The sequence below is a fragment of the Homo sapiens genome, chromosome 1 (genome assembly GCF_000001405.40).
Source record: "Homo sapiens chromosome 1, GRCh38.p14 Primary Assembly".
Classification (NCBI taxonomy): domain Eukaryota; kingdom Metazoa; phylum Chordata; class Mammalia; order Primates; family Hominidae; genus Homo; species Homo sapiens.
Genome location: NC_000001.11, coordinates 37,790,653 through 37,816,954, shown reverse-complemented (window position 1 = coordinate 37,816,954; position 26,302 = coordinate 37,790,653). Strand labels below are relative to the sequence as shown.

The 26,302-nt window shown below is 51.0% G+C and overlaps 4 protein-coding genes across 11 annotated transcripts in view, besides 4 other annotated features; 2 read left to right on the top strand and 2 right to left on the bottom strand.

Moving 5' to 3' along the window:
* The window catches only part of MTF1 (metal regulatory transcription factor 1), a 50,019-nt gene extending 42,638 nt beyond the window's left edge, over positions 1-7,381 (top strand). For all 4 annotated transcript variants that reach the window (NM_005955.3, XM_047421170.1, XM_011541491.3 and 1 more), the window contains one exon: positions 1,389-7,381. In NM_005955.3, coding sequence (NP_005946.2) covers positions 1,389-1,819 — 431 coding nt within the window. In that variant the 3' untranslated portion in view covers positions 1,820-7,381. The remainder of the gene's footprint in view (positions 1-1,388) is intronic.
* A 119-nt stretch (positions 7,382-7,500) lies between these two features.
* On the bottom strand, positions 7,501-9,165 carry C1orf122 (chromosome 1 open reading frame 122). 2 transcript variants are annotated; one of them, NM_198446.3, is made up of 3 exons: positions 8,516-9,165; positions 8,223-8,424; positions 7,501-7,977 (listed from the first exon to the last, which is right to left on the bottom strand). In NM_198446.3, exons 1-3 carry the CDS (start codon positions 8,548-8,550, stop codon positions 7,882-7,884), a joined length of 333 nt encoding a protein of 110 aa, NP_940848.2. In that variant the 5' UTR covers positions 8,551-9,165; the 3' UTR covers positions 7,501-7,881. The 2 variants fall into 2 exon arrangements, with proteins under 2 accessions (NP_940848.2, NP_001136198.1); NM_001142726.2 differs by having other exon boundaries at positions 8,649-9,165.
* Positions 8,108-8,657: a silencer, noted in NCBI's record as "silent region_681". NCBI's record gives its function as "represses an Ori minimal core promoter by ATAC-STARR-seq in GM12878 lymphoblastoid cells {active_cell/tissue: GM12878}" and the evidence as "EXISTENCE:reporter gene assay evidence [ECO:0000049][PMID:35858748]".
* On the top strand, positions 8,747-14,010 carry YRDC (yrdC N6-threonylcarbamoyltransferase domain containing). The gene is made up of 5 exons (NM_024640.4): positions 8,747-9,163; positions 9,740-9,854; positions 9,979-10,098; positions 12,511-12,653; positions 12,958-14,010. Exons 1-5 carry the CDS (start codon positions 8,775-8,777, stop codon positions 13,028-13,030), a joined length of 840 nt encoding a protein of 279 aa, NP_078916.3. The 5' UTR covers positions 8,747-8,774; the 3' UTR covers positions 13,031-14,010.
* Positions 8,838-9,097: a silencer, noted in NCBI's record as "silent region_680". NCBI's record gives its function as "represses an Ori minimal core promoter by ATAC-STARR-seq in GM12878 lymphoblastoid cells {active_cell/tissue: GM12878}" and the evidence as "EXISTENCE:reporter gene assay evidence [ECO:0000049][PMID:35858748]".
* Positions 14,011-15,821: 1,811 nt separating the features above from the next.
* Positions 15,822-23,108, bottom strand: MANEAL (mannosidase endo-alpha like). Of its 4 annotated transcripts, none has more exons than NM_001113482.2 (4): positions 22,223-23,108; positions 21,109-21,218; positions 20,135-20,211; positions 15,822-17,388 (listed from the first exon to the last, which is right to left on the bottom strand). In NM_001113482.2, the coding sequence occupies exons 1-4, from the start codon at positions 22,770-22,772 to the stop codon at positions 16,752-16,754; spliced, it is 1,374 nt and encodes a 457-aa protein (NP_001106954.1). In that variant the 5' UTR covers positions 22,773-23,108; the 3' UTR covers positions 15,822-16,751. The 4 variants fall into 4 exon arrangements, with proteins under 4 accessions (NP_001106954.1, NP_001026910.1, XP_005270567.1 ...); NM_001031740.3 differs by having other exon boundaries at positions 15,822-17,111; XM_005270510.4 differs by lacking the exon at positions 20,135-20,211 and having other exon boundaries at positions 15,822-17,111.
* Positions 22,772-22,891: a silencer, noted in NCBI's record as "silent region_679". NCBI's record gives its function as "represses an Ori minimal core promoter by ATAC-STARR-seq in GM12878 lymphoblastoid cells {active_cell/tissue: GM12878}" and the evidence as "EXISTENCE:reporter gene assay evidence [ECO:0000049][PMID:35858748]".
* Positions 23,152-23,201: a silencer, noted in NCBI's record as "silent region_678". NCBI's record gives its function as "represses an Ori minimal core promoter by ATAC-STARR-seq in GM12878 lymphoblastoid cells {active_cell/tissue: GM12878}" and the evidence as "EXISTENCE:reporter gene assay evidence [ECO:0000049][PMID:35858748]".

Here is a 26,302-nt window from a genome sequence, read left to right as displayed (position 1 = left end):
AAGTGAATCTGTGGTGGAACCAAAGCACTAGTTGTCAGGCCTCCCCGTTCCCACCCTGTTCTCCTGCCCACTGGCCTTTGTTTTGTTTTGTTTTTGAGACAAGGTCTCACTGTCACCCAGGCTGCAGTATGGTGGCACGATCACAGCTCACTGCAGCCTGGGCCTCCTGAGTTCAGGCAATCCTCTTGCCTCAGCCCCCCAAGTAGCTGGGACCATAGGCATGCTCCACCACCATGCCTGGCTAATTTTCTTTTTTTTCTTTCTTTTTTTTTTTTTTTTTGAGATGGAGTCACGTTCTGTTGCCCAGGCTGGACTGCAGTGGCGCAATCCCGGCTCACTGCAACCCCTGCCTCCTAGGTTCAAGTGATTCTCATGTCTCAGTCTCCCAAGTAGCTGGGATTACAGGCATTCAACACTATGCCCAGCTAATTTTTGTATTTTTAGTAGAGACAAGGTTTCACCATGTTGGCCAGGCTGGTCTCAAACTCCTGACATCAAGTGATCTGCCCACCTTGGCCTCCCAAAGTGCTGGGATTATAGGCATGAGCCACCACGCCCGGCCTAATTTTTCTTTATTATGTGTAGAGACAGAGTCTCACTATATTGGCCAGGCTGGTCTCAAACACCTGGGCTCAAGAGAATCCTCCCTTCTCAGTCTCCCAAAGTACAGGGATTACATACAGGCATGAGCCACTGCACCTCATCCTGCCCATTGGTCTTTAGCTCTGTCAAGACACACAAAGCCTGGCTGAATATGGAGCAAGTGTTCGTACAACACATGAGAGAAAGAGAGATGAGTAAGATGTCCTAAAGGAGCTCAGAGTCTCCTGGGCAGGCAGAACCAAGCAGGTCCTGTACCGCAAGGAGAGAGGTGTGGAAGGAAAACAGCAGCACTGTGCATGTGTGCCGGGAGGCTGGGTACCGGCTTCATCCAAGCTAGTCCTCTGCATAGGCCTACAGAGAGTGGGGGAGTGAGCTAGGTCTTGAAAGATGAGTGTCAGTTCTCCAGAAGAGAGGTGTCCAGGGATTTTAGTCGTAAGGAAGAGCCCACAGGCCCAGGGGTATAAAGAACGTGTCAGGAAAAGTAGGCCTCCACAGGGAGGGTGCAATGGAGAATGACTGGAAATGAAGCTGGAAATACAGGGTGCATCTAGATCGTGTGTGTGACTTTCTAAGGAAACGGGACTTTGTCTCGGGCTGGGGAGTGTCCCTCTTTTACCTCAGAGGGCATGTGGTCCAATTTAAAGCAGAACGAAGCCCGAAGTGTGGCAACCATCCTTCCCATGGTTCCCATGGCACTCTGCTCTCACCTAGTCCATGTATCCCTGTCCCTCATGCTCCTGCCCCTGCAGCTACTTGAAGAGCAGTCTCTCTTGCCTCTCTCGCAGGGAGCTCTGTCCAGCAGATTGGCCTCAGTGTTCCTGTGATCATCATCAAACAAGAAGAGGCATGTCAGTGTCAGTGTGCATGCCGGGACTCTGCAAAGGAGCGGGCATCCAGCAGGAGAAAGGGCTGCTCCTCCCCACCCCCTCCAGAGCCGAGCCCCCAGGCTCCTGATGGGCCCAGCCTGCAGCTCCCAGCGCAGACTTTCTCTTCAGCCCCTGTTCCCGGGTCATCATCCTCTACCTTGCCCTCCTCCTGTGAGCAAAGCCGACAAGCAGAGACTCCTTCAGACCCTCAGACAGAAACATTAAGTGCCATGGATGTGTCAGAGTTTCTATCCCTCCAGAGCCTGGACACCCCGTCCAATCTGATTCCCATTGAAGCACTACTGCAGGGGGAGGAGGAGATGGGCCTCACCAGCAGCTTCTCCAAGTGAAGGGCCCATGTGTGCTCACCTCTGGGAAAAGCGGGTGAGCAGGAGGCATGAGGTACAATGCCTGCCATCATGGGTCAGAAATTTGAAGGATGAAGAAATCTACTGTTTGAAATCCTCACCTTTCAGACGTATTTTCTTTATTCACATCCCAGGAGCATCCATTTTAAGGAACTATTCTTTGGAAAAAAACAAAAAACAAAAAAAACAACAAAAAAAGCTAAGTTATAAGTGAACTGTTTGGCTGCACTGTATGTCACTTTTGCTTGTTGTCATGTGAACTTGGAAACTAAGGTTACTCGTGTGCATAAAAATTCTAAATGAAAGGGTGTGGTTTCCATCAATCTGATGCTGCCCATCGCTTGCACTGGGGTCTTTGTGGATCGGGCAGGAGTTTTCAGTGTGTTGGGTGTTGCTCCTTCCTATGTGTCTTTTGAATCTGAGGCTGACATTTGCTTGGAAGGCCAGACCCTTGCTCCATCAGAGAGGGCAGTGGCAAAGGCCAGTGAGGCAGCTGTGAGTTGGACAGGGTTCAGGTGAGATGGTGTTGTCATTTGTGCTTAGTGTTGGTGGTGCTCAGGGTGGATAACACGGGTCGTTCTGCAGCCCGCTTCAGCACAAATAGGCAGCTTAAGGCCTGGCTCACAGGCTGTGGGGTTGATCTGGCTCTGCAGAGGCCCTAGGCAGCTTGTTGACTGCTGTCTGTTGATGACGTGTGTGCAAAGCAGGCTCTAGCAACATGATCACTGTCCTTGCCTTCCTGGTTCTTTCTCTCGGTTGGTTGCCAGGGCTTGCAGATCGCAGTGAATTTTCCTTGGGGAACATCGCTGTTTTGTCCTAGAGTGAACTTGTGGCTTATGGCCAGTGCTGTTTGGTGGTCTGCCTTCTTTTTAATGGTATTTTCTTCCTCAGAGCAGAAGGGCTGCATTTTGCTTATCAGAAGAAGGTGCAGATTTAAGGGAATTCATATGAGGTGGCATGTAATTGGCAGGCCAGGTGTCCTGGTTCCAGGTTCCAGCCAGGCTTTGGGTTGCCCCCTCCATCTCTGCCCCCCTCTGGATTTTGCATACAGCCTCATACAGTGCAAACAAGGATGTGACTTGCTCAGCTTAGTCATGTGATTTATTTAAAAAAAAAAAAAAAAGAAACACAAAACGATGATCTTCTACTCAGGGTATAGCAAAACAAAAAAATTCCCTTTCCACCAAAAAGCCTGAAATGTTGCAATAAGTTATCTCATTTGGAATGTTTCATTAAGTTGTGTTATAGGAAAAAATTGTGTGTGTGTGTTATAGAATTATATCCATATGTCTGCCTTTGGCTCCAAGTCATTGCCTCTTAAAATAAAAGATACAATCCATACTAGCATGAAAAGTTTCCCTCAACAGGCTATATTAACATAGTCATGAGTGCTGACCAAACTCACCGAGCTCAGAGGCCAGGCATGGCCTGAGGTGCAGAATAGGCCTCTGCCTCCCAAGAGCCCTTTCCTTGCCCTGAGCAAGGAGTGGTGTTCCACAAACAAGGCTGCTCTTCTAAGCCAACAGTGTCAGGCAGGAAGCAGCCATAATTTTGCCTTGCATTTTCATTCCCTAATGTAAAGGGATCTGCATTGGTCACTCTCCTGTTCTCTGAGCCATTGCTCAGGGCCAGCCAAGATATTATTGAGAACAGATAATTTACCTTGGAGCCAGAGGCCCTCCCTGCCTTTAGCAAGGATGTTCAGGGACAGACAAAGAGGGCAGTGGTGGTGAATGTTGTTACTGCCATGAGGAGAAATGGCAGTAAGAAATCTTAACTACAAGCAGCCAATTTCTCATTCCAGGACCCTAGCCAGAATAATTGACTTCTTTTTTTTTTTGAGACAGAGTTTTGCTTTTGTTGCCCTGGCTGGAGTGCAGTGGCGCAATCTTGGCTCACCGCAACCTCCACTTCCCAGGTTCAAGCAATTCTGCCTCAGCCTCCCGAGTAGCTGGGATTACAGGCATGCGCCACCACGCCTGGCTAATTTTGTATTTTTAGTAGAGACGGGGTTTCTCCATGTTGGTCAGGCTGGTCTCGAACTCCCAACGTCAGGTGATCCTCCCGCCTCAGTCTCCCAAAGTGCTGGGATTACAGGTGTGAGCCACCATGCCTGGTCTAGGGAATTGACTTCTTTTTGACCTTCTGCACTCCCTTCCCCAAAAGGATTGTGGCTTCTGTTGACCATTGACCTCAGCAGAAGTTGATAAGGCAGGAGGTTTCCAGTCCTCCTGGAAAACCAACTGCTGAGCATGAGTTGTCCTTGGCTGTCTCTGGGCCTCGCACCCATGGGAAGTTTTGAGGTAGGGCCCTTGCTGTTTACAACTTCTGAGAGAGTAGTGATGGGACCCCAAAGTAAGCTTGTATCAGAGGGCAGTAATGACCTTCCCATATCCCCATCCTGTGGTCACCTGGGATTTGGGTTCCCTGGGGCGGAAGTGGGAAATAGGAGCCCAGGGAAGGACATCTGAAGCACCCACAGTTTAAATAGCGACTCTTCTTGGTTAGCCAGGGCTGTGCTCATGTTGGGCCCTACCCAGGTCAGTGGCCTTTTCACTCTCAAAGATCGGGGGTGACGAAGCAGCATCTTAAACAGTGTTTAGGCTGACAGATTTTTCCAGTTGAAGAAGCTGAAGTATCTGCCTTTTGAGGGTGACTCTAGATTACAAGAGAGACTATCAGATCCAATCAGCTTTTGAAAAATCAGGAATGTGCTTAAAATGCCAGTGAGTGGTTGTGAAGATCAGGTTTATTTCCCAGGATAGGCAGTCTTTCTTTCCCTCCTTTTCCAGTTCTCTTTTCCTACCTGTCCTTCCATAAGCCTGGTCTCTAGTGCCGAGGACCTTGGAGAAGAGAGGGCCCCTAGCTAAGCTGGAGCCAGAAAGAACCTTCATGGTGAGTGTGGTTTCCCAAACTTGGGAAATGAACCTAGGGTGAGGTTAGGGAGGATTTGTAGAATTCTAGCAGGTAAAAATCAAGCCTTTTTCCCCTCCCATAGTAAACTTAACCATTTTCACCCTGTACGTTATCTTCTAGCTCCTACTAACATCTCCAATTAGACAACCGCTTCAAAGGGTGCTTAGCACCAGGGATTGGGGTTCATGGACTTAGGAGGTGGTAAGGAAACTGGCTGGCACCACCAAACTGCCTTAGTGAACTTGGCCCTTCCCAGGCAGGTAGGTTGGGCATTGAGGGAAGGTGGCCCAGTCTTTGCTGGCAGGGTCTGGCCAGTCTCATGGGGGCACCACCAGTTTGGTGACAGAAGTGGTGTCATTTATTGAATTCCACCTCCGTTTAGAAGGAGATCATGGTACAAAGCCCAGGAGGGGCCTTAAGATGTGAAGATCTCTCTGAGTAAAAGGCAAGGGGCTTCTCTTCTTCACCTCTGGGATAGTTGGTAGATCGGAGAGTTTTATTTTCAGGGTCAAGGCTGTGGACTGATGGGGATATTGGAGGGTGGGTGGGTTTTCCTGAGAGACTTTGTATAATGCTGAATGTGTCCAGAGGGACAAGTTTGCAGAACCTCATATTGGTATATTAAAGAAATAATAAAATAAAAAAGCACTTTAGGTTATTTTATCTTTAACCCGATTGCTGCAATTTCTTTTGTGTGTATATATACATATATATACTTTCCACAAAGTTTTATTTTTTGCTCAGAATAAAAAGTTAAATTGAGGTGTGAAAAGAAAAGCACTTACCTTGGTGCAATATGTGTAGCTTGATGGTCGTTGTCCCATGTGGCCCTGGCCTGGCAGCGTTTTTCCGCTCAATCAGCCCTGTGCTGTGAGACTGTCCATAGGGAAACACTATTATGCATTCTCAGCAACCGCTCAATCTATGCAAGCCTTCCCTGTGTGCCCCAGGGCGCCCCCTCAGGCTCTCTGAAGAACTGCTGTGGGTCCTGTTTTCTGCTGACTGTTGAGGCCCTTTTTCATCACTTCTTGGTCTCTCGCCATCTTTTCCCTCTTCACCATTACAAAATGATGCCTGAAAGGAAGGAACAGATTGTTCCTAGGTAGAAACCTGGCACCTTCTAGACTTTTATATTTGTAATCACATCCATTGTCCTTAAAGACTTTTCCAGAGTGATTGAAACCATTGATTTGTGGAACTGCAACAATATTTCTCAAGAGTTTACAATTGTCTTACACCACCAATCAGAAATATGTTTGGGGAGGCATGGGTGGCAGGGGGCAACATGAGCCATTTCCATACTGCTCCCCATACTACCTGTGTTGGTTCCTTAAGCAAAAAGGCCTCCAGCCTTCATTAAATCCTATAAACAAACATTACATCCCATGAATCATTATCAACTTTCTTCCTTTACTCCACCTCCCCCATTTTATCTTCAATTCTCAGGCTATAGAATAGACAAGTTTTAGAATATACTTCAGCCAAAGCAGAAGGATTTTCATAGATCCAATATGCAAATAGTTCTGCTGTGACATAGATCAGAAATTGTCTGTTCCTTAATATTTGGGGGTGGAGGCAACAAAACTGAAGCATATTTCTGATTGGTTAGCCATTTTGGCCTGTTTCCTCTTGCATGTTTTTTAGGGAGAGAGGGAAACAGTCCTGTATTTCTTCTGATGCCCTTTGGGGAAGCCGACGACCACTGGGCATTTCTCACTGTTACTCCTGTTCAAGAGAGGGCTTCTCAGTCTGCACTGAAAAATGCAAATTAAACTGGATCTTTATGTCAATGTGTACATAGTACAAGCTTTTTTACTGGAATTGAGGTTTAAAACCACACACTGCCCTTTTGGTGGTGTGCCTGTTGGGCCAAAAATTGGGTGATAATGTAGTGTCACTTTCTCAGCTCAATGCAGTTTCTACTTTTTCTTATGGGAAAATTTTTCATAAAACCTTTTTGCACCAAAACCCAGGGGTGTTTTTTGCAATATCCTTGTTATCCTCGTAGTGTGCCAAGTCAGAGGCTTTCTCTTGCCCTTTTCCTGCTGTGTTCTCAGGCCTCCCAAGGGCTATTTGACTCAACAGTCTACATCCTTCGTTGTGTTTTGGAGAATGTGGGGGTGGGGGTCAGAGTTCAAGGTGTCTGTTCCCTTTTCCTGTGAACTCTTTCTAGTCCCTATTTGGGGAGGGTGGCTGGAAACAGATTTTTGCTGAATTTCTGGCTCAGATCTTCTAGCCAGGAAAGGCAAGAGCCCCCAAGAGCCCTTTTTTTTGACATACACTAATCATTGGCCGGGGTCTTGGTGACAACTTTTAAAATCCCAAATAGTTTTATTTGGATTATGTAAAAGTAAGTGTGAAACATGGGAACAACGGACTTCCACTGAGCGATGTGAAAACGTTACAGGTTCAGTACTTCCAAAGGAAGAAACCTCCAAACCCAAAAAAGAATAAATATGAATTTGTATTTTTGAAGAATGTGAAATAATGGTGTTTGCTTAATTGCTCATTTTGTATAAACTTAATATTGTACTTTAAAATATCTGCTAAAAAGTGAAAATTTAACTTTTTGGAATTGAAAAAGCAATATTAAATACTAATGAAATCCTAATTAAATGCTTATTTAAATCTGGTAGTATCTGTGGCATTTCTTACCAACCCTGCCCATAGTTGACATTTTTCCACCACTCCCCCCTTCCCAGCCATCAGTCTTGGAGAGGGGACAGAAAGGAAACGTCGGTCACCAGGAGAGTCTGCAGGTTTCCTTTTAATCAAGGCTCTACTGAAGGTGTTTTGTGGGGCTAAAAGCCCCCAAAACATGAAATGGACATGTAACACCACCTGGATCCCCCATAGCAGGCCAGACCACTCTGGCGAGCACTGCTGGTCTGCCCAAATCTGGGTAATCAGACTGGGTATTCATTGGCTGCATTTCAAAGCACAGCACTGCTTTCAGCCAGGATGAAGTGGGAGTGAACCCAGCTGCTAGCAGAGCTGCCACTCCAGGCTGAGAGCCAAGTACCAGCCACTGCCAGTGAAGACTGGCCCCTTTACTGAAGGGAGTTGTTCAGAGTCCAGCCACCGGCCCTGGGGAGGGAGAGAAGTCAGGGTATTCTGCTCGGGGATGGTCAGGGCTCCGCAGCTCCATCGCCAGCATCCTTTGGAAAGCCGCCTCTGGCGGAGACAGCCGGCTGGGGGGGCGCTCCAGGTTTGGCTGAGACGTTCTAGTTGGAACAGAAAGGAAAAAAGTGAGGCTGGGAGGCAAGGCCTTGGATTAGGCCCCACAAGGATGTGGCCATTTGGCATTTGGATAGTATTAACTTTTTCGAAACCTCTCACCAGATCAAAGGAGGTTAGGGATAAAGCGGCGGAGACATACTTCCCCCCTCCAGGGTAAGCTAGGGCTTGGCCAGCCTAGCCAGTGGGCAGACCCCACCCCACCCCAGCCCAGCCCAGGGTGGGCACTAACCCCGCCACCAGCCGGCTCCGGGCGCCGGCGGCCCAGCTGCCGTAACATCTCCTCGCAGGCTGCGATGGTGTCCAGGAGCTGCCGCTGCCGCTGCTCCACCGCGTCCAGCAGCTGCTGGGCGCGCTCCTCCCGGGGCGGCTGTGGGGGTGGCCTCCCGCCGAGCCCCAGCCCCGCCTTCCCGCGGTCCACGCCGGCAGCCTCCCTGCCCGGGAGAGAGCGAGAGACAGACGGTCAGGGCCGGCGCTTGCGCGGGGCCAAGCCCCTTCCTCCCGCCCCGACGGGCCCCCTCTCACCCCCGTGACCAGTCTGAGCCCGGGCCCCATTCCATCTCCGCTTGCGCGGCCCGACCACCGCCCCCCTTTCGGCCGCCCCCCTCCCCAGCGCTGCGTTAGGGCTTCGCAAGGCTGCGCCCCGCCCCGTCCCCACCGGTCTCCTTCAATCCTCCTGGGGGTCGTGGTCCCTTTAAGCTGCCCGGCGCAGAGGCGGGGCCGAGTCTCCTGGACCGGAAGCTGGCTGGGAGCGTCACTTCCTCCCGGAAGCGGGCCTGGGCGGATGTCTCCGGCGCGTCGGTGCAGGGGGATGAGGGCCGCGGTGGCTGCCAGCGTGGGGTTGAGCGAGGGGCCTGCTGGCTCCCGGAGCGGTCGCCTCTTCCGCCCGCCGAGTCCCGCTCCGGCGGCCCCCGGCGCCCGGCTGTTGCGGCTCCCGGGGAGCGGGGCCGTGCAGGCCGCGAGCCCGGAGCGCGCCGGCTGGACCGAGGCGCTGCGGGCCGCCGTGGCCGAGCTGCGCGCCGGCGCCGTGGTGGCCGTCCCCACCGATACGCTGTACGGCCTGGCCTGCGCGGCGAGCTGCTCGGCGGCTCTGCGCGCTGTGTACCGCCTCAAGGGTCGCAGCGAGGCCAAGCCTCTGGCCGTATGCCTCGGCCGCGTGGCCGACGTCTACAGGTAAGGCCGCCCCGACCCGGCCCCGCTAGGGGCGGCACCGCGGGAGGGGTTTCCGGTGACAGGCTTGGGAGACTGAGGCGCAGAGAGCGGGAGGGGCTTGTCCAGGCTCACCAAGGAATCCGGAACTGGAAATATGTACCGAGGACTTAACGTGCCCCGGGCCCTGAACTACATGCTGCTGGGAAGCAGCAACACACGAGAAAGGCAGGGACCCTGTTCCCTTGGCGTATTTGTGCTAATTGGGGAGGCCCCCGGGAAAAAAGCAAACAAACACAGTAGCTTAATTTAATAGCGAATGCCTTGAAGAAAATAAAACGTGGAGCTTGATCCCACTATCATGATATCACAGCGGTGCAGCTGTTGTAGTCCCTGAGACCAGAGGCACATGGGCGTCAAGCCAGGGGTGCGCCTCTGGAGCCCTGCTTTCTGCTCAAGCTCTTAGGGAGGTGAAGCAGGGAGACAGGCGGCTCCCATTGTAAACTCGAAGGATTCCTTTTCTACGTCTGCCTAGAGTCTAGGAAAGGACCACCAGTGGCCCTTCAATTTTGAATGGATTTATTCTTCTGTGTTTCCCAGATACTGCCGTGTGAGAGTACCTGAGGGGCTCCTGAAAGACCTACTGCCAGGACCAGTGACCCTGGTGATGGAACGCTCGGAGGAGCTCAACAAGGACCTAAACCCTTTTACGCCTGTGAGTCAAGTTTTCTCTTGTGTCCCCAGACTCCAGGCCACTTGGCTTTCACTAGGATCCAGATAAGACTTACCCTCTTATCCCTTCCAACCTTTCTCATGATCCCTTTCCCCTTGCCTTACAGCTTGTAGGCATTCGGATTCCTGATCATGCTTTTATGCAAGACTTGGCTCAGATGTTTGAGGGTCCGCTTGCTCTCACTAGTGCCAACCTCAGCTCCCAGGCCAGTTCTCTGAATGTCGAGGTGAGTTTACCCAGTCCTTCCCCTGGAAATGTCACCAGCGCACATACTGTTTTCTGTGAATCAGTGGCATTGATAGTACACTGGGATGGCCAGGCATGAGAGTTCTTGGGCCAACAGTGGGAAGGTTGCCCAGCTGGCAGGGAGGTGGTGGGGGGCAATATAAATTAAAAAAATTTGAAAGATTTTATCTCAAAGTCTGAAAAGCCAGGGGGAGAATTGGTCTTTTCTTCAGTCTTTATAATAATAGGAAAGATTATAAGAACAATGTCTTCCTGTTTTTCTGGAGATAACAGTTTCTGGAGAACACAGTTAGGCTATAAATCTTCACGACAGTGCTGTAAAGAAAGATGAAGAAGGCCAAGGGCAGTGGCTCATGCCTGTGACCCCAGCACTTTGGGAGGCCCAAGCAGGTGGATCATGTGAGGTCAGGAGTTTGAGACCAGCCTGGCTAACATGGCAAAACTCCATCTCTAATAAAAAATACAAAGATTAGCCAGACATGGTGGCGCATGCCTGTAATCCCAGCTACTTGGGAGGCTGAGGCAGGAGAATCACTTGAACCTGGGAGGCAGAGGTTACAGTGAGCTCAGATTGTGCCACTGTACTCCAGGCAGGGCTCTAGAGCGAGACTCTGTCTCTTAAAAAAAAAAAAAAAGATGAAGTTTAGCCTCCAGAAAGTTAAATCACTTGTTCCAGGTCACACAGCCATTAAGTGACTGACTCAGATTTTTAACCAGTTTTTGATTCTCGCCCCTGTTCTCTTATCTCTGCCACAAGCCAGATCAAAGAAAGGATCATCCTAATCCTTTCTTGGCTACATAGATTAGAACAAAGGAGGACACATAGAAATTTCGTTTTTTTTCTTATTACTAAGATGTAAAACGTAGTAATAAGCTACATTGTGTCCCCAGACTCGGCCAGACACATAGTATCACACATAGTATCCAGCATCAGGCCTTGGGCCTTCCTTGGGCTTATTACATCCAGCTAATAAGCCTGGATAGAGTAACTTGCGTGCAGTCACATAGAGATACGATGGAAAGTCCAGAGTTAGAGCCCGTATCCCTGCTCAGAACTCCATTCGATGGGTTTTCCATTCCCAGACCTAGAGTGGGGCTCAGGGTTCTTAGAAAGTGAGAGTTCAGCATCCCTTCCCATTCTCAGAGTGCAGGTTTGACTTGGTCCTGGTGGCTGTACCCCAGGAGCAAGAATCGGGATGTGGCACAGGGAGGGGAGGTTTTTACCTTGTCAGCAATCATTTGACCTGTCCAACACAGTAACTGGTATTTATGATTTCCTGTCCCAGATTTCCAGGCCTAACTGCCACTGCAGTGTCTTCCTTGGGGGGTTGGGGAAGCTCTAGCTCAGTTAACAATTCAGTCCACTGCTCTAGGGGGAGTATCCTTCTCATAGCCCAAAGACTGAGTGCTGGTGGCATGCAGAATCTACCATGTTCTACTCTTCCTACCCTGATCAGAGTCGCAGTGAGATCCAGGAGCATAGTTCTAGAGCTAGAAGGAGCTGGAATCACTTGTTCCAGGTTACGCAGCCATTAAGTGACCAGATTTTTACCTAGTTTTTTTTTGTTTTGTTTTGTTTGAGACAGTCTCACTCTCTTGCCCAGGCTGGAGTGCAGTGGCACCATCTCAGCTCACTGCAACCTCCATCTCCCGGGTTCAAACAGTTCTCCTGCCTCAGCCTCCCGAGTGAGTAGCTGGGATTACAGGCGTGTGCCACCATGCCCGGCTAATTTTTGTATTTTTAGTAGAGATGGGGTTTCACTATGTTGACCAGGCTAGTCTCAAACTCCTGGCCTCAAGAGATCCAGCCTCCCAAAGTGCTGAGATTACAGGCGTGAGCCACCATGCCTGGTCTTTTTACCTAGTTTTTGACTCTTGACCCTGTTCTCTTATCTTTGCGGCAAGCCAGGTCAAAGAAAAGATCATCCTAGTCCTGTCTTGGCTACATAGATTAGAACAAATGAAATGAGGACATAGGATCATCTAGTCCAGCCCACTTGTCTTGTAGGCCTGGATAGAGTAACTTGCATGCAGTCACACGGAGATACGATGGAAAGTCTAGAGTTATAGCCCGTATCTCTGCCCAGAACTCCATTCATTGTACTTATATTTCCCTAACTGAAGCAATGTGTGAAATTTCCTTTTGACATAGCAAGATTTTCTTTAAACCCTAGATAGGTGTTACTTGGAGTGCTAACCCAGGAGGCCTCCAAACCTCATAGAATACAGTGTCTTTGGCACAGTTGACCTTAACTAAATGAAGCTCCTTTCTCTGCTTAGAGGAAAGTGCCTTCTGTTTTAAGACTATATGGCCTTTGATGACTGCGTGCAGTTTGACATTATTGGATACACCAGGGATAGTGTCCATGCTCTTCCTTCTCCCTCTTCTCAGGAGTTCCAGGATCTCTGGCCTCAGTTGTCCTTGGTTATTGATGGGGGACAAATTGGGGATGGCCAGAGCCCCGAGTGTCGCCTTGGCTCAACTGTGGTTGATTTGTCTGTGCCCGGAAAGTTTGGCATCATTCGTCCAGGCTGGTAAGTCTCTTTCCTGTGGTGTGGGGAAATAATTTGAGGGAGGTTGGAGAGATGCAAAAAAGCTTTGACAAGATAAAGATGGTGCCTCCTATGTTGCCCTGAAGGAGTGTGGGCCAGGTTTGGAGAAGTGGTAGTTGCAGTGGGACTAAGTTTCCTGGCTTTCTTAGGATTCAAAAGGTTTCATCAAGGGTTGATGAACAGGGCTTAACAAGGCTAGCCAGTTTCGATGTCCCTGCTCACCAGCCTCTGGTGGGCTCGGGACTTCTGAGAAGTCAGACTGGTAACTGTCCTGTTTCCTCCTCAGTGCCCTGGAAAGTACTACAGCCATCCTCCAACAGAAGTACGGACTGCTCCCCTCACATGCGTCCTACCTGTGAAACTCTGGGAAGCAGGAAGGCCCAAGACCTGGTGCTGGATACTATGTGTCTGTCCACTGACGACTGTCAAGGCCTCATTTGCAGAGGCCACCGGAGCTAGGGCACTAGCCTGACTTTTAAGGCAGTGTGTCTTTCTGAGCACTGTAGACCAAGCCCTTGGAGCTGCTGGTTTAGCCTTGCACCTGGGGAAAGGATGTATTTATTTGTATTTTCATATATCAGCCAAAAGCTGAATGGAAAAGTTAAGAACATTCCTAGGTGGCCTTATTCTAATAAGTTTCTTCTGTCTGTTTTGTTTTTCAATTGAAAAGTAATTAAATAACAGATTTAGAATCTAGTGAGAGCCTCCTCTCTGGTGGGTGGTGGCATTTAAGGTTCAAACCAGCCAGAAGTGCTGGTGCTGTTTAAAAAGTCTCAGGTGGCTGCGTGTGGTGGCTCATGCCTGTAATCCCAACATTCTGGGAGGCCCAGGCGGGAGAACTGCTTGAGCCCAGGAGTTCAGAATCAGCCTGGGCAACATAGCAATACTCCGTCTCATAAAAATTAATAAATAAAAAGTCTCAGGTGACCAAAGGCTCCTGAAGCTAGAACCAGGTTTGGATAAAGATTGAAGAGCCACAGGCCACTCTTCCCTCTGAGCCATTGGGCCTAGTGGTGTCATGTATTGTAATTGCTCGCAGGGAGAGCAGTCTTTTTGGTGTAATAGTGGGATGTCTGCTTAGTTGGCAGGGGTTCAGTCCAAATGGAAGAATATTGGGAAATAAACCTCCACTATCCTTTATAGCCAGGGACTTTTTTCTTATTTATTCATAAAATAAATTATAGTTAATTATACCCATAACACCTTTATTTAAATCCAGTGTTCTCCGCAGCCTTTTGTCTATTTATATGTGTACCAAGTGTTAAACATAATTATTATTGGGCATTTGAACTTTGTTTTTCTTTAAAGAAATGCTGCTATTAAACATATTTGTAAATGGTTTGTTTTTCTTCTTTTGAATTATTTCCTTAGGAGAGTAGGTCAAAGTGTAGGAAGTATTTATGGCTCTCAGTATGGATTAGCCTTCAAAAGAACTGAGTCAAGTTACACTGCTGTTAGCAGTGTGTGAGAATGGCTGCCTCTGCCCCCTGGCCTTCCCATGTTTAGTATTTTTCAGATTGTGTGTGTGTTAAATGAAGCCAGTGTTGCTACCTTCTGTAAATTACTACAGGTCAACATCCAACCCTTTCAGCTGTCCCTGCCTGCCTTGGTTTCCCCAGCTAAGCCCCAAAGCCAGGTGGCCAGGCCTGCTCATCTCTCTGGTGGGGCTTAATATCAGTTACCTAACTGGGGCTGGGTGTCCTTGAGGTGACCACTGGGGTCTATTTCCTCCTTCCTCCCCTTCCCTCTTGTACCCTAGTTCCCAAAATTCTGATTCAGTCTTTTTTTTTTTTTTTTGAGACAGAATCTCTGTTGCCCACACTGGAGTGCAGTGGCACGATCTTGGCTCGCTGCAAACTCCGCCTCCCAGGTTCAAGTGATTCTCACACATCAGCCTCCTGAGTAGCTGGGACTACAGGTGTGCACCACCACACCCTGCTAATTTTTTTGGTATTTTTAGTAGAGATGGAGTTTTGCCATGTTGGTCAGGCTGTTCTTGAACTCCTGGCCTGAAGTGATCCACCCGCCTTGGCTTCCCAAAGTGCTGGGATTACAGGCATGAGCCAAGGCACTCAGCCCATTTTTTACTTTTTTAAAGACACGTCTCTCTGTGTTGCCCAGGCTGGTCTCGAACTCCTGAACTCATCCTTCCACCTCAGCCTCCCAGAGTGCTGGGATTACAGGCATGAGCGACCACGCCTAGCTTCCAATTCAGTCTTGAGCCCATAAACTTCTCAGTACAGTGGTTTCCAATGCACCTGTTTCCAAGTATATCCTAAGAATCTTGTGTTAACAGGGGCCTGCTTTAATCAGGGTTCCTGCAATTAGCGTATTAGTTTATTGGTAAATAAGCACTGGTTTGTTAATTCCCTCTAGAAATCTTGTTTAGTAATGTTTTTTGTGTTTTCTTTTTGTTTGTTTGTTTGTTGTTTTTGTTTTGAGACAGTCTTGCTCTTGCCCAGGCTGGAGTCCAGTGGTGCCACATTGGCTCACTGCAACCTCCGCCTCCCAGGTTCAAGCGGTTCTCCTGCCTCAGCCTCAGAAGTAGCTGGGATTACAGGCACCCACGCCCAGCTAATTTTTGTATTTTTAGTAGGGATGGGGTTTCACCATGTTGGCCAGGCTGGTCTCGAACTCCTGACCTCAGGTGATCCACCTTCCTTGGCCTCCCAAAGTGCTGGGATTACAGGTGTGAGCCACCACGCCCAGCCTTGTTTAGTAACTTTTTTTTTTTTGAGACGGAGTCTCGCTCTGTCGCCCAGGCTGGAGTGCAGTGGCGTGATCTCGGCTCACTGCAAGCTCCGCCTCCCGGGTTCACGCCATTCTCCTGCCTCAGCCTCCCAAGTAGCTGGGACTACAGGCGCCCACCACTACGCCTGGCTAATTTTTTTGTATTTTTAGTAGAGACGTGGTTTCACCCTGTTAGCCAGGATGGTCTCGATCTCCTGACCTCGTGATCCGCCCATCTCGGCCTCCCAAAGTGCTGGGATTACAGGAGTGAGCCACCACGCCCAGCCATTGTTTAGTAATTTCTTAAGCAAACCTACTTGTTGTGGTAAAGCCATAGCCAGCCCAGCTCCTGTATCAGTTTGTCACAGAATCTAAGGTCAGAATCTGTGAGGTCTTAAAGAGAGCAAAAGGAATGCTTACTTGAGAATACCAGTTCATATTTAATTACTACTAATCACAGTAGCACTGAACATGGCTCTAGTGAGTGGGCCTCAGTCAGTTCAGGCAGCTAAAGGGAGGGGGATTTCCTCCTAGTCCTCTCCCTAGAGCTAAATATGCATCTGGGAAAAATTAGGCTCTGGAGCACAGAGGTATTTTTCTAGAGGAAAAAGAACTGAACTCCCAGCACTAGGTAAAACTGCAAAAAGAAAAACACCTGTGCCCAGGCACTAGCTACAAGGCCACACCAGAAAAGGAAAGCTGGGTCCTGGAAGCTTCAGGACAGGAACTCTTCCTTGGTCAAGTTTTCCCCAGCACCTAGCACATAGGAAGGTGCTTGATGAGTGAGTGTTAAATGAACCTGTGAGTGCTCAGGATGATTTCCTGATAATTGGGTTCAGGAATCTACTGGGAGGAGCTTAAACCTAGAAGTTCCCTTTTTGAAAGTCTCAAATATGGTTCCCTAACTTAGAGAAGACAGATGATGTGGGAAGGAGGCCTGAGGAGAGGATGCAGGCTGGCAGAAGGGAGCAGGGTGCATGCGAGCCCAGACCCTGACACCCTTCCAAGGGTGGTGACTGGGTGGCCACTACACAGCACCAGCCTGCTGCAGAGTTCAAAACTAGAAGGGGTTACATGAAAGTGTTCCCAGGATGTGGAGCTGCCCTGGGCTAAGTTCAGTCACCTGCCAGCCTCTGCCGTTCCCATCACCACAGAGCACCTCAGCACCACTCGCCTGAGGAACGGGCTCTGTGTTGCACAGGCCCATGCCTGACGGCCCACCCAGAAACACCCATCTGCTGACCTCTGACCTGGGAACGAGTGAGTGGCTACAACCTCAGCTGAACCCCACATGGTGACATCTTCCAGCAAGGCAAGGACATCAGCACCTCACGCCCATTTACAGGCCCCTCACATGAGCCACTGCTCCTTCTCTTTGATGAAGTGCTCCGCCCAGCGGCGTGTCAGCTCCAGGTACAGGCTGGGCTGGTGAGGCAGGTAGTCCAAATACAGGCGGGTGGGTGTCTTCTTGGGAATGGCCTTCTCAATCTGGGTGCCCTCGTGCCACTCATTGAAGGAGGTAATGGAAACGATCTCGGGCCTCACTGTCAGGGCCGCCTGCAGGGCCGTCTCATAGTACTTGCCATTGACCCTGTTGCGCGTATTGTGGTTGTTCCAGGGCCGAATGCTGGTGTCTATGTAGCCAGGCCCCACACTGGGGATGAACATGAGGTTGTTGGCATCACAAAAGTTCTTCACAGCTTTCCAGTTCTGATGGGAAGAACCAAAGGAGAAACCATTGGAGGCAAAGTAGGTGTACATGCCGTCAAATCCGGCGGCCAGGATATCGTGGGTGTGGCCCTCCTCCACCAGCAGCGCTATGAAGACCCCATCGTAGGGCGTGTTGCGGATCGAATGGGGCCCGTTTGGTGTCAGGAGGTGGGCCCAGGCCTCAGGGGACGTCAGGTATGAGTCGTAGATATAAAAGAGTGGGAGGCTCTTGCCCATGCTGTTCTTATAGCGGTAAAATGCACCATGGGAGCCATACCTGAGAAGGAGAAAGAAGAGCCTCAGCTGGATGGGAGAGACCAGCACAGCTGTAGGACCTCCCGTGGATGAGATACGGATGCAACACAGCCCAGTTCTGGAGCCAGTCAGTCTCCACAGTTGGAGTCATCATGCCTCTAAGCAAGAACCTGGTTCCCTCCTTCCTCTCTCCAGTTGTCATTCCTAAGCCTCACTTCCCTACCCTTAGCCAAGCCACCACCGTCTTCCATCTGGATTGCAACAACAGCCAGCTAACTGGTCTCCAGGCTCCCATCCTGCCTCCATATAATCCATTCATTATTCCCACCTACTTGATCTGGCCCTGCCTACTCCATTCCTGCTCTTTTCCCAGCTATTACTCCCCATCTGGCCTTTCTATCCGGCTCTCATGTGTCATGCAAGCTTGTTCCATCTTATGGGACTTGCATCTGCCAGCCCTCTGCTTGGAATTTTCTCCCTGCCTCCGGATCTTTGCAGAGCTGACCCTTTTTCTTTTCTTTTTTCTTCTTATTATTACTACTTTTTTCTGAGATAGGGTCTTGCTCTGTTGCTCAGAGCTGGAGTGCGGTGGGCGATCTCAGCTCACTGCAACCTCTACCTCCTGGGGTTCAAGTGATTCACCTGCCTCAGCCTCTCAAGTAGCTGGAATTACAGGCACCCGCTACCATACCTGCCTAATTTTTGTATTTTTAGTAGAGATGGGGTTTCACCATGTTGGCCAGGCTGGTCTTGAACTCCTGACCTCAGTCAATCCACCCACCTCAGCCTCTCAAAGTGCTGGGATTACAGGTGTGAGCCACTGGGCCTGGGCTTTTTTTTCTTTTTTCTTTTTTTTATTCTTAAGTCTCACTGTATCGCCCAGGCTGGAGTACAGTGGTGCCATCGTAACTCACTGCAACCTCAAACTCCTGGGCTCAAGTGATCCACTCACCTCAGCCCCCCAAATAGCTGGGACAATAGGCATGCATCACCATGCCCAGCTAATGTTTAAAAAAAAATTTGTAGAGATAGAGTCTCCCCATGTTGCCCAAGCTGGTCTCAAACTCCTGGCCTCAAGTGATCCTCCCACCTCAGCCTCCCAAAGTGCTGGGATTACAGGTGTGAGCCACCACACCCAGCCCTGACTGCTCATTCAGGTGTTAGCTCACCTGTTGTCTCCTCAGACTCACCTGACCTGACTATCCATTCTTAAGTAGCATCGTGGGCACACTCTAGCACAAAATCCTGTACAGATCACTGTTTGATTTTTCCCATTTAATTACTGTCTGCTCCACAGTACCTGCAACATACACTAGAAAGTAAACATTATGAAATCAGAAATTTCGCTAGTCCTACCCATTACTGTACAACTGGGCTTAAGTCAGTGCCTGGACACATGTAGGCACTCAATACTCTCTTTTTTTTTGTTTGTTTTTTTAAGAGACAGAATCTTGCTCTGTTCTCAGCTGGAATGCAGTGGTGTAATTGTGGCTAACTGTAACCTCAAACTCCTGGGCTCAAGTGATCCTCCCACCTCTGCCTTCCAAGTAGCTAGGACTACTACAGGCATGCACTGCTATGCCCAGCTAATTTTTTTTTTCAGTAGAGATGGGGTCTTGCTATGTTGCCCAGGCTGATCTCAAACTCCTGGCCTCAAGCAATCAATCCTCCCACCTCTGCCTCCCAAAGCCCTGGGAGGCCGGGTGCAGTGGTTCACACCTGTAATCCCAACACTTTGGGAGGTCGAAGTGGGCAGAGCATCTGAAGTCAGGAGTTCAAGACCAGCCTGGCCAACATGGTGAAATCCCAGGCTGGAGTACAGTGGTGCCATCATAGTTCACTGTAACCTCAAACTTCTGAGCTCAAGTGATCCACTCACCTTAGCCCCCCAAGTAGCTGGGACCATAGCTGTGCATCACCACGCCCAGCTAAAGATACAAAAATACAAAAGTTAGCTGGGTGTGGTGGTGGGCACCTGTAATCCCAGCTACTCAGGAGGCTGAGGCAGGAGAATCGCTTGAACCCAGGAGGCAGAGGTTGCAGTGAGCCAAGATTGTGCCACTGCACACCAGCCTGGGCAACAGAGTGAGACTCTGTCTCAAAAAAAGAAAAAAAAAAAAAAAAGCACTGGCATTACAGGCATGAGCCATTGCACGCAGCCTCATTCAATATTTATTTATTTATTTTTGAGATGGAATCTCGCTCTGTCACCCAGGCTGGAGTGCAGCGGTGCAATCTCGGCTCACTGCAACCTCCGCCTCCCAGATTCAAGCGATTTTCCTGCCTCAGCCTCCTGAATAGCTGGGATTACAGGTGTGCGCCACCACGCCTGGCTAATTTTTTTATTTTTAGTAGAGACGGGGTTTCACCACGTTAGTCAGGCTGGTCTCGAACTCCTGACCTCAAGTGATCCGCCTGCCTCGACCTCCCAAAGTGCTGGGATTACACCATGCCTGGCCTTCATTCAATACTTTCTGAATGAATAAATGAGGTGCCTACATTGTAGAAGCTACTTTCACATATATTAATTCGTGTGATTCTCACAAGACTCAAAGGTTAAGAGGCTTGCCTCATCACAGATTAGAAGCCACAGGACAGGAATTGAAACCCAGGCTGCCTGACTTTAGGCCCAGTACTCTCTTACTATAAAACAGCTGCTGGGAAACACAGGCATTATGCCCTGTGTCTCTTGACCTGCCCCTCCAAACCTTCTATCCCTACCTCCATTTTGATCCCCACCAAAATCCCGGCCCCCAGAGCAGCCTTACGTGTCAATGATGTACTTGATGTTGTCATGTACAGTGATGTCATCCCGGCCCTTGTAGGGTTGGATGTGGAAGGCCACCTGCCACAAACAGAGGAGTAATGGTCAGGTGAGTGTCTATCTAGGGGCCACAACATATCAGGCTCAGGATCTAACCATGGCCTGGAGGAGAGGCTGAGTTCAGAAGAGGGCCTGGCAGTGGTGGGCACAGTAGAGATAAAGGCAGCTGCTGCCCTTGAAGGCCAAAACAGGGGTGAGCAGTTTGCCCATCTCCCGCAGCAGGGCATGTGGGAATCATTTTGGTGGGCTGTTACAGGGTGGCTAATAGGTTTCAACCTTGTGCCAGCTCCAAGTGGTTGGTGCTAGCTGCCTGAAACAGTGGAATAAGTATGCTGAAGCTGTGTCAGTGGAAAACTGCTGTGATCTGTTAGACATGTCAGTGGTGGAATTCTCTTCAGGAATAGGGGAGTGGGGCTTTTCTTCTTTCTCTATCATTTTTCTTCCTTCACCACAGAAGCAAGGGATGACTTACTTGATTGGCACATGTGGGGAAATGCTTCGTCCAGTCCGTCCTTCCTCTTGAAAGTGAGCCCACCTGCTGAGAACACCTGCCTACTCCTCGAGGTCCAGCACTGCCTCCCACTAGAGAGTTGAGTCTGCAGGTCCCTTTGGCTCTTGCCTACCCTTTTTCCACCAGGGTTTACAACCTAACCTCTATTATTATTTAACAAAAGTGATAATTATTTAGTCTTCTCTTGGTCCTATATTTAGTTTTCTCAGTTTTCTTAGAATTCAAAAAACTAAGAGCAACATAGGCACCATTTATCTGAACCCTCCCCCAAAACCACACTTGCCACATATTTGTTATCCCTTTGGGCTACTGCCAAGAACTTCTGTAGAGGCACTAACCCTGTGGGCGGAGGAGAGCAACTCTCCAGAATAGGGCAGAGAGCACGTGGCCTCTTCTTGGAGACTCACCTGGATGCTGTACTGATGGGCGGTGTCCAGAATGGCGGGCACCAGGTCATCTGAGGGCTCCCCGTTATCATCAGCCATGCCAGGTGGGTACCAGGACAGGACCAGGACGCCTGAGACGCAACACAGAGGCCACTTCAGAGACACACAGTACCCCCCTCAACAGAGATTTTTTTCCTCACAAACATCTCCAATTGCAAAAATGGTTCCTAAAAACCTGAAGCAAGCCTCCTGCCAGGTTCACTTCCTGCAGATGAGTCCCAGAGCCTCGCGCCCCGGAGCTGTCCACGCCCGCGGTGCTGAAGCGGAGCGCCTGCGGGAACCGTAGCGCGCCAGGCCGGAAGGGAGCCAGGCTTTAGACTGCCTCAGCAAGTAGTAGAACAAAGGGAATGGGAGGACAGTGCCACACCCACCTGGAAGCCACAGGCCTACCTCTGAAGAAGAGAAGCACCCCTAACCCTAACGTCCCGCATGGAGAAGAGCCCTGAGCAGAGGCCATCTGTAAAATCCAGCAAAATTCAGTGACGAAATCCGAAATAAGTGAGCCTCCCCTCCATAGCCTACGAAGGAGGCGCCCTGGGACCTTCCCTCCAGCTGGGTGCTTGATGAAAAGCCTCTAAACCCCCAACACTACCTCCAACTGCAAATAGAGCAGAGGCCTTCATGGAACACGGGCACACTTTCCTCTCTGCAGCCAGCAAAAGCAGGAACGGCTGCTGCTCTACCCTGTACCTGCCATGAAAGCAGAGGCCGCCCTAAGTTCCACTCCTCTGAACCCCAGAACCTGCGGGCCAGGACTCCAGGCCTCACTTCCCATCGCCCAACAAATTTGAAGACTCTGCCTCCCTCTCCTGGTGCAAACTCCTAGCAGTTCCGCCCTATGGGAAGGGCCCTGGATGTTAGGGATGGAAGGGCCCAGCTGGGGGGTCTGAATACTAGACGGAGGGGCGGTGTCGCATGGTGGGCCCAGGATGAGAGTGGGAGGGAACAGCTAAGAAGCCAGGCTGGCGGATAAGTGGGACCAAAGGGCCGGTGACAGGACCAGAGGGAGCTGGGGTGTGGGAAGGAGGAAGGGTGAGGCTGGGGGGCAGGGCCGCCCGGGGTGGGGGGCGCTCACCGATGGCGGCTTCCTTGAGCTGGGTCATATGCTCCCGCAGCACTTCGGGGTCCCGGGAGCTGTAGGGCCCCAGCTCCGGGTAGAAGCTGGAGCCCAAGTCGTCTGGGGGGCTGTGGCGGCCGCGGGGGTAGCTGGCCGAGATCTTGGGGTCCCAGTGCGGCACCATGACGTGGTCCCAGTGAATGTAGTGGCCCTCGCGCCGCGGGCTCCCGTACCACGAGTAGTAGAAGGCGTGCAGGTCCGAGTAGACGCGCAGGCTCTGCACGGGGGCGGGCTCGGCCTCCGCGGGTGCCGGCCCAGGGGAGCCGCCAGGGTCCGCGGTGCGGGGCGGCGGCGGCGGCGGGGGCGGCGCGGCAGGGGCTGCCGGGGCCCTGGCAGCGGGCGCGGGGGCCCCCTCTGGGCGTCGCTCAAAGGGCGCCAGCTCCAGGCCCGGGCCCAGCGCCGGGAGTCCGTCCGGAGCCTTGAGCGTGCGCAGACCCATGAGGGTGCCGAAGGCGAAGAGCAGCACCAGGAACAGAGCGATGCAGGCGCGGCGCCGCCGCCGGGCCATGGCCGACTGTGCGCTCCTGCAGCCGCCGCGCTACCTCCCAGCGTGCCGCGCCATGGCCGCCCGCCCGGCCGCGCGCTTCCCAGGCAGACTGTGCGCCCGGCAGAGCGCGGCGTGGGCGGCGCCCGGCCTGTCCCCGCAGTGCGGGCGGGCTCGGCACACAGGACGCAGGCGGCGCGGACCAAGTGGCCGCGAGCCGAGGGGGAACTGCACGCCGAGTGCAACGCAAGGCCCAGCGAACGGCGAGTTTCGGGGCCACAGGAGCAGGGGCCTGAGTCAGGCCGCGTGACCCGCGAAAGAAGAGTCGCCTGGCTGCCTGGGCGGCAGGTGGTGGCGCCTGGCTGGGGAGCGGGGACGCAGGCCTTCCGGAGCGCGGGAGAGAGGCGGCGCGGCGGGGGCGGGGGCGGAGGCGGGGCGGGGGGGGGAAAGAAGCGCGCGTCGGTGGTTCTCTCCCCAAGGATTTCCTTCTTCGTCGATCCACCTTTACTCACTTCACTGGCCCCCTCCCTACGGGTCTCAGTGCCACCCTTCTAGCCCCAGGTCCCCCATCCCTCGGCCCCCCTCCCCGGCACCCCAGGCAGCCCCTGAACCTCGGGGGAAGGGGCGTCGGGAAATCCCCAGGAATCGGACCCTGCAGACGCCGTCCGGGGCCTGGCGGGCGGAGGACGACCGTGACTCGCGCAAGGTCACACTGACCGGGCCTGGACCCCGGGTCAGGGCGCACTCTCCAGAGCTCGCTGCACTGCCCAGCCTGCCGGGTCGCAGTGTGGCTTAGTGAGTTCTCTGGTTGGAATCTCACGAAGCCAAAATTAAGGCGTTGGCAGGTTACACTCCTTTCTGGAGGCTCTAGGAACGGATCTACGTCCAGCTCAATGGCAGAATTCAGTTCCATACAATTGCAGGGCTAAGGCCCCCATTTGCTTGCTGGCTGTCATCTGGGGGTCTTTCTCAGTTTCTAGAGGCCTGCTGCATTTCTTGGCTTGTAGGCCTGATGTCGTCTGGAGCGGTCTCTCCTGGGAGAACCTCCTAGAGTCAGGGAGGATTAAATGAGATGGTTCCCGTAAAGCACTTCCACGGGGCCTGAAAAGCAAGCGCTCAATACATGTGCGCCTTTCTTCCTGGATTCTGGGCTCCAGAGGACAGGCCCCGTCTTATTTACCTTGTTAGACGCCAAGGGCTGCCGGAACAGCATCTGACACTCACTTCCTAGTGCCGTTTAAGTGAGTACCAGCCCCTGGTGTGATAGTCTGTAGATAATAAGCTTTTCACTCGCTATTGATAGAGTTCCTACACTGCATTATTCATTACTTCATTTATTCAGAAGATAGTTTTGTTTATCATATGCCTCCTTCAGTGGTCCGCAATGACAGCAACTTTGTTTCATTCCCTGTCTGCATGTCTAAAACAGAGCTTGGGATGATGGCGGGCACCCAGTTCTTATTGGTTAAGTAAAATGAATTGTAGGGAACCCAGGAAGAGGAGCAGGGAGCTTGGGAAGTGTTGGTAGACCTGCAGCCGAGGAAAGTGAGCTTGAGAGACCTTATGGTGGTAAATGTGAATGAAGTGGAATGCCTTCAGCTCCAGGTCGCCCATACCCGATTCAGCCTGACTTAAGGAATATGCCAGTGTATCAACTTGCAAAGCAAGGAGCCCAGTGGCAGGGCAGAGTGGGTATTTTCTCTGATCCAACAATGTCATTAGGAACCTGAGATGTTCCCGTCTCACTGCTCTACTCTCCCCACCACTGACTTCATATACAAACCCAGTTCCCCTCATGCCACAAAATGGCTGCTATGGCTATTGACTGCTCTTCCCATTCCACAGGCAAGGGTAAGACTGATTTCTCTTTCCCAGAAGTCCTAAACAAACATCTCATTGAATCTCCTTGGTCTAATCTGGTTTAGGCCTTTTTATGCCAGACAAATTATTGCCGAGGGGGATAGAATTACCATGACTAGATGAGATTACATTTGTGGAGTGGGTTAAATGTTGGAGAGAATACCATGTCTACCAAAGAGTGAGGTGACTCTGGGAATAGAAAGAGTGAGAAGAGGCTGGGTGCAGTGGCTCAAGCCTGTAATCCAGCACTTTGAGAGGCCAAGGCAGGTGGATTACCTGAGCTCAGGCGTTTGCGACCAGCCTGGGCAACACGATGAAACCACCATCTCTACTAAAATACAAGAAATTAGCCAGGCGAGGTGGCAGGCGCCTGTAGTCCCAGCTACTTGGGAGGCTGAGGCAGGAGAATTACTTGAACCCAGGAGGCGGAGGTTGCAGTGAGCCGAGATCACGCCACTGCACTCCAGCCCGGGTGACAGAGCGAGACTCTGTCTCAAAAAAAGAAAGAAAGAAAGAAAGAAAAGAAAGAAAGAAAGAAAGAGAAGAAAACGGGTAAGGACGGCACTCTCAGGAACACCAGCATTTCTGGGACAGGCAGAGGAAGGAGAGAGTCTAAGAAGGAAACAGAAAGAATCATTAACGAGGAACTAAGAGAACAGGGAATGGGTGGTGAAGGTTTTGGAAAAATAGTGGGAAGGTTTCCCCAGCTCCCAGTCATCCCACTATTTCTGGGATGCCCTGAAACAATTGTGTCCCCTGTTGGCCATGCCTGGAGTCCTTGACACTGCCACCTGGCCTTGACAGTTTGACCCAGGGCTAGTACTCTGACCTAGTGGTCAAAATTAGTCCAATGATAGCTTCCCATCTTCCACTGGACCAATCATGAATACTGACCCAAAGGGCATCAATTCCAGTCATTTTTTGGGATTTTACTCTCTGGTCTGCAGGAGAGATTTCATCCTCTTTAAAGATAATGCCATTTGCCGGGTGCGGCGGCTCATGCCTGTAATCGCAGCACTTTGGGAGGCTGAGGTGGGAGGATGACTTGAGTTCAGGCTTTTGAGATCAGCCTGGGTAACATAGTGAGACCTCATCTCTACAAAAAATTAAAATATATTAGTCAGGCATGGTGGCACACGCCTGTACTCCCAACTACTCGGGAGGTTGAGGTGGGAGGACCACTTGAGCCTGAGAGGTCAAGGCTGCAGTGAGCCGTGATCACACCACTGCACCCCAGCCAGGGTGACCGAGTGAGACCCTCTCTCAAAAACAAACAAACAAACAAACAAACAAACAAACAAGATAATGCCATTAGAGGGAAGGGACAGAGAGAAACTTAGTGTTATTGGTGTCCTGATTTCAGTCTTCCTGGCGGCCTAGTTGCGGTGTGAAACACTTGACCATTCTTCCAATAAGTTACCCTTTTATTCTGAGCAAGGTGAGCTGATGGAGCTGACTATTGATTGCCTATCAATCTCTGACAAGACCGAGAAGGGGACTTGGGAGCAGGAGGTCATTTGGAAGGTAATCTCAGGAAGTAAGAGTTAGGAATTGAACAGAATGAGACAAGAACAAAAGAAAAGCCAAACCAATGGTGCACTGAGGATGTCGCTGCTATAGATAATGGGGACTTAATTCTGCCACGTCTTTTCAGAAGTGTACAAATGCCTCCCAGAGTTAGGAGGTGTGAGGCT

What these genes read in the sequence shown, in the direction of transcription:
- C1orf122 (NM_198446.3), bottom strand. Translation starts at nt 8,550, where the DNA reads ATGGAATGGGGCCCGGGCTCAGACTGGTCACGGGG. An exon ending in GGCTCAGACTGGTCACGGGG is followed by an intron (nt 8,425 to 8,515) that starts GTGAGAGGGGGC and finishes TCTCCCGGGCAG; the next exon opens with GGAGGCTGCCGGCGTGGACC. An exon ending in CGGAGCCGGCTGGTGGCGGG is followed by an intron (nt 7,978 to 8,222) that starts GTTAGTGCCCAC and finishes TGTTCCAACTAG; the next exon opens with AACGTCTCAGCCAAACCTGG.
- YRDC (NM_024640.4), top strand. Translation starts at nt 8,775, where the DNA reads ATGTCTCCGGCGCGTCGGTGCAGGGGGATGAGGGCCGCGGTGGCTGCC. An exon ending in CCAGTTCTCTGAATGTCGAG is followed by an intron (nt 10,099 to 12,510) that starts GTGAGTTTACCC and finishes CCCTCTTCTCAG; the next exon opens with GAGTTCCAGGATCTCTGGCC. An exon ending in GGCATCATTCGTCCAGGCTG is followed by an intron (nt 12,654 to 12,957) that starts GTAAGTCTCTTT and finishes TTTCCTCCTCAG; the next exon opens with TGCCCTGGAAAGTACTACAG.
- MANEAL (NM_001113482.2), bottom strand. Translation starts at nt 22,772, where the DNA reads ATGGCCCGGCGGCGGCGCCGCGCCTGCATCGCTCTGTTCCTGGTGCTG. An exon ending in GCTCAAGGAAGCCGCCATCG is followed by an intron (nt 21,219 to 22,222) that starts GTGAGCGCCCCC and finishes GTTGCGTCTCAG; the next exon opens with GCGTCCTGGTCCTGTCCTGG. An exon ending in CCCATCAGTACAGCATCCAG is followed by an intron (nt 20,212 to 21,108) that starts GTGAGTCTCCAA and finishes TGTTTGTGGCAG; the next exon opens with GTGGCCTTCCACATCCAACC.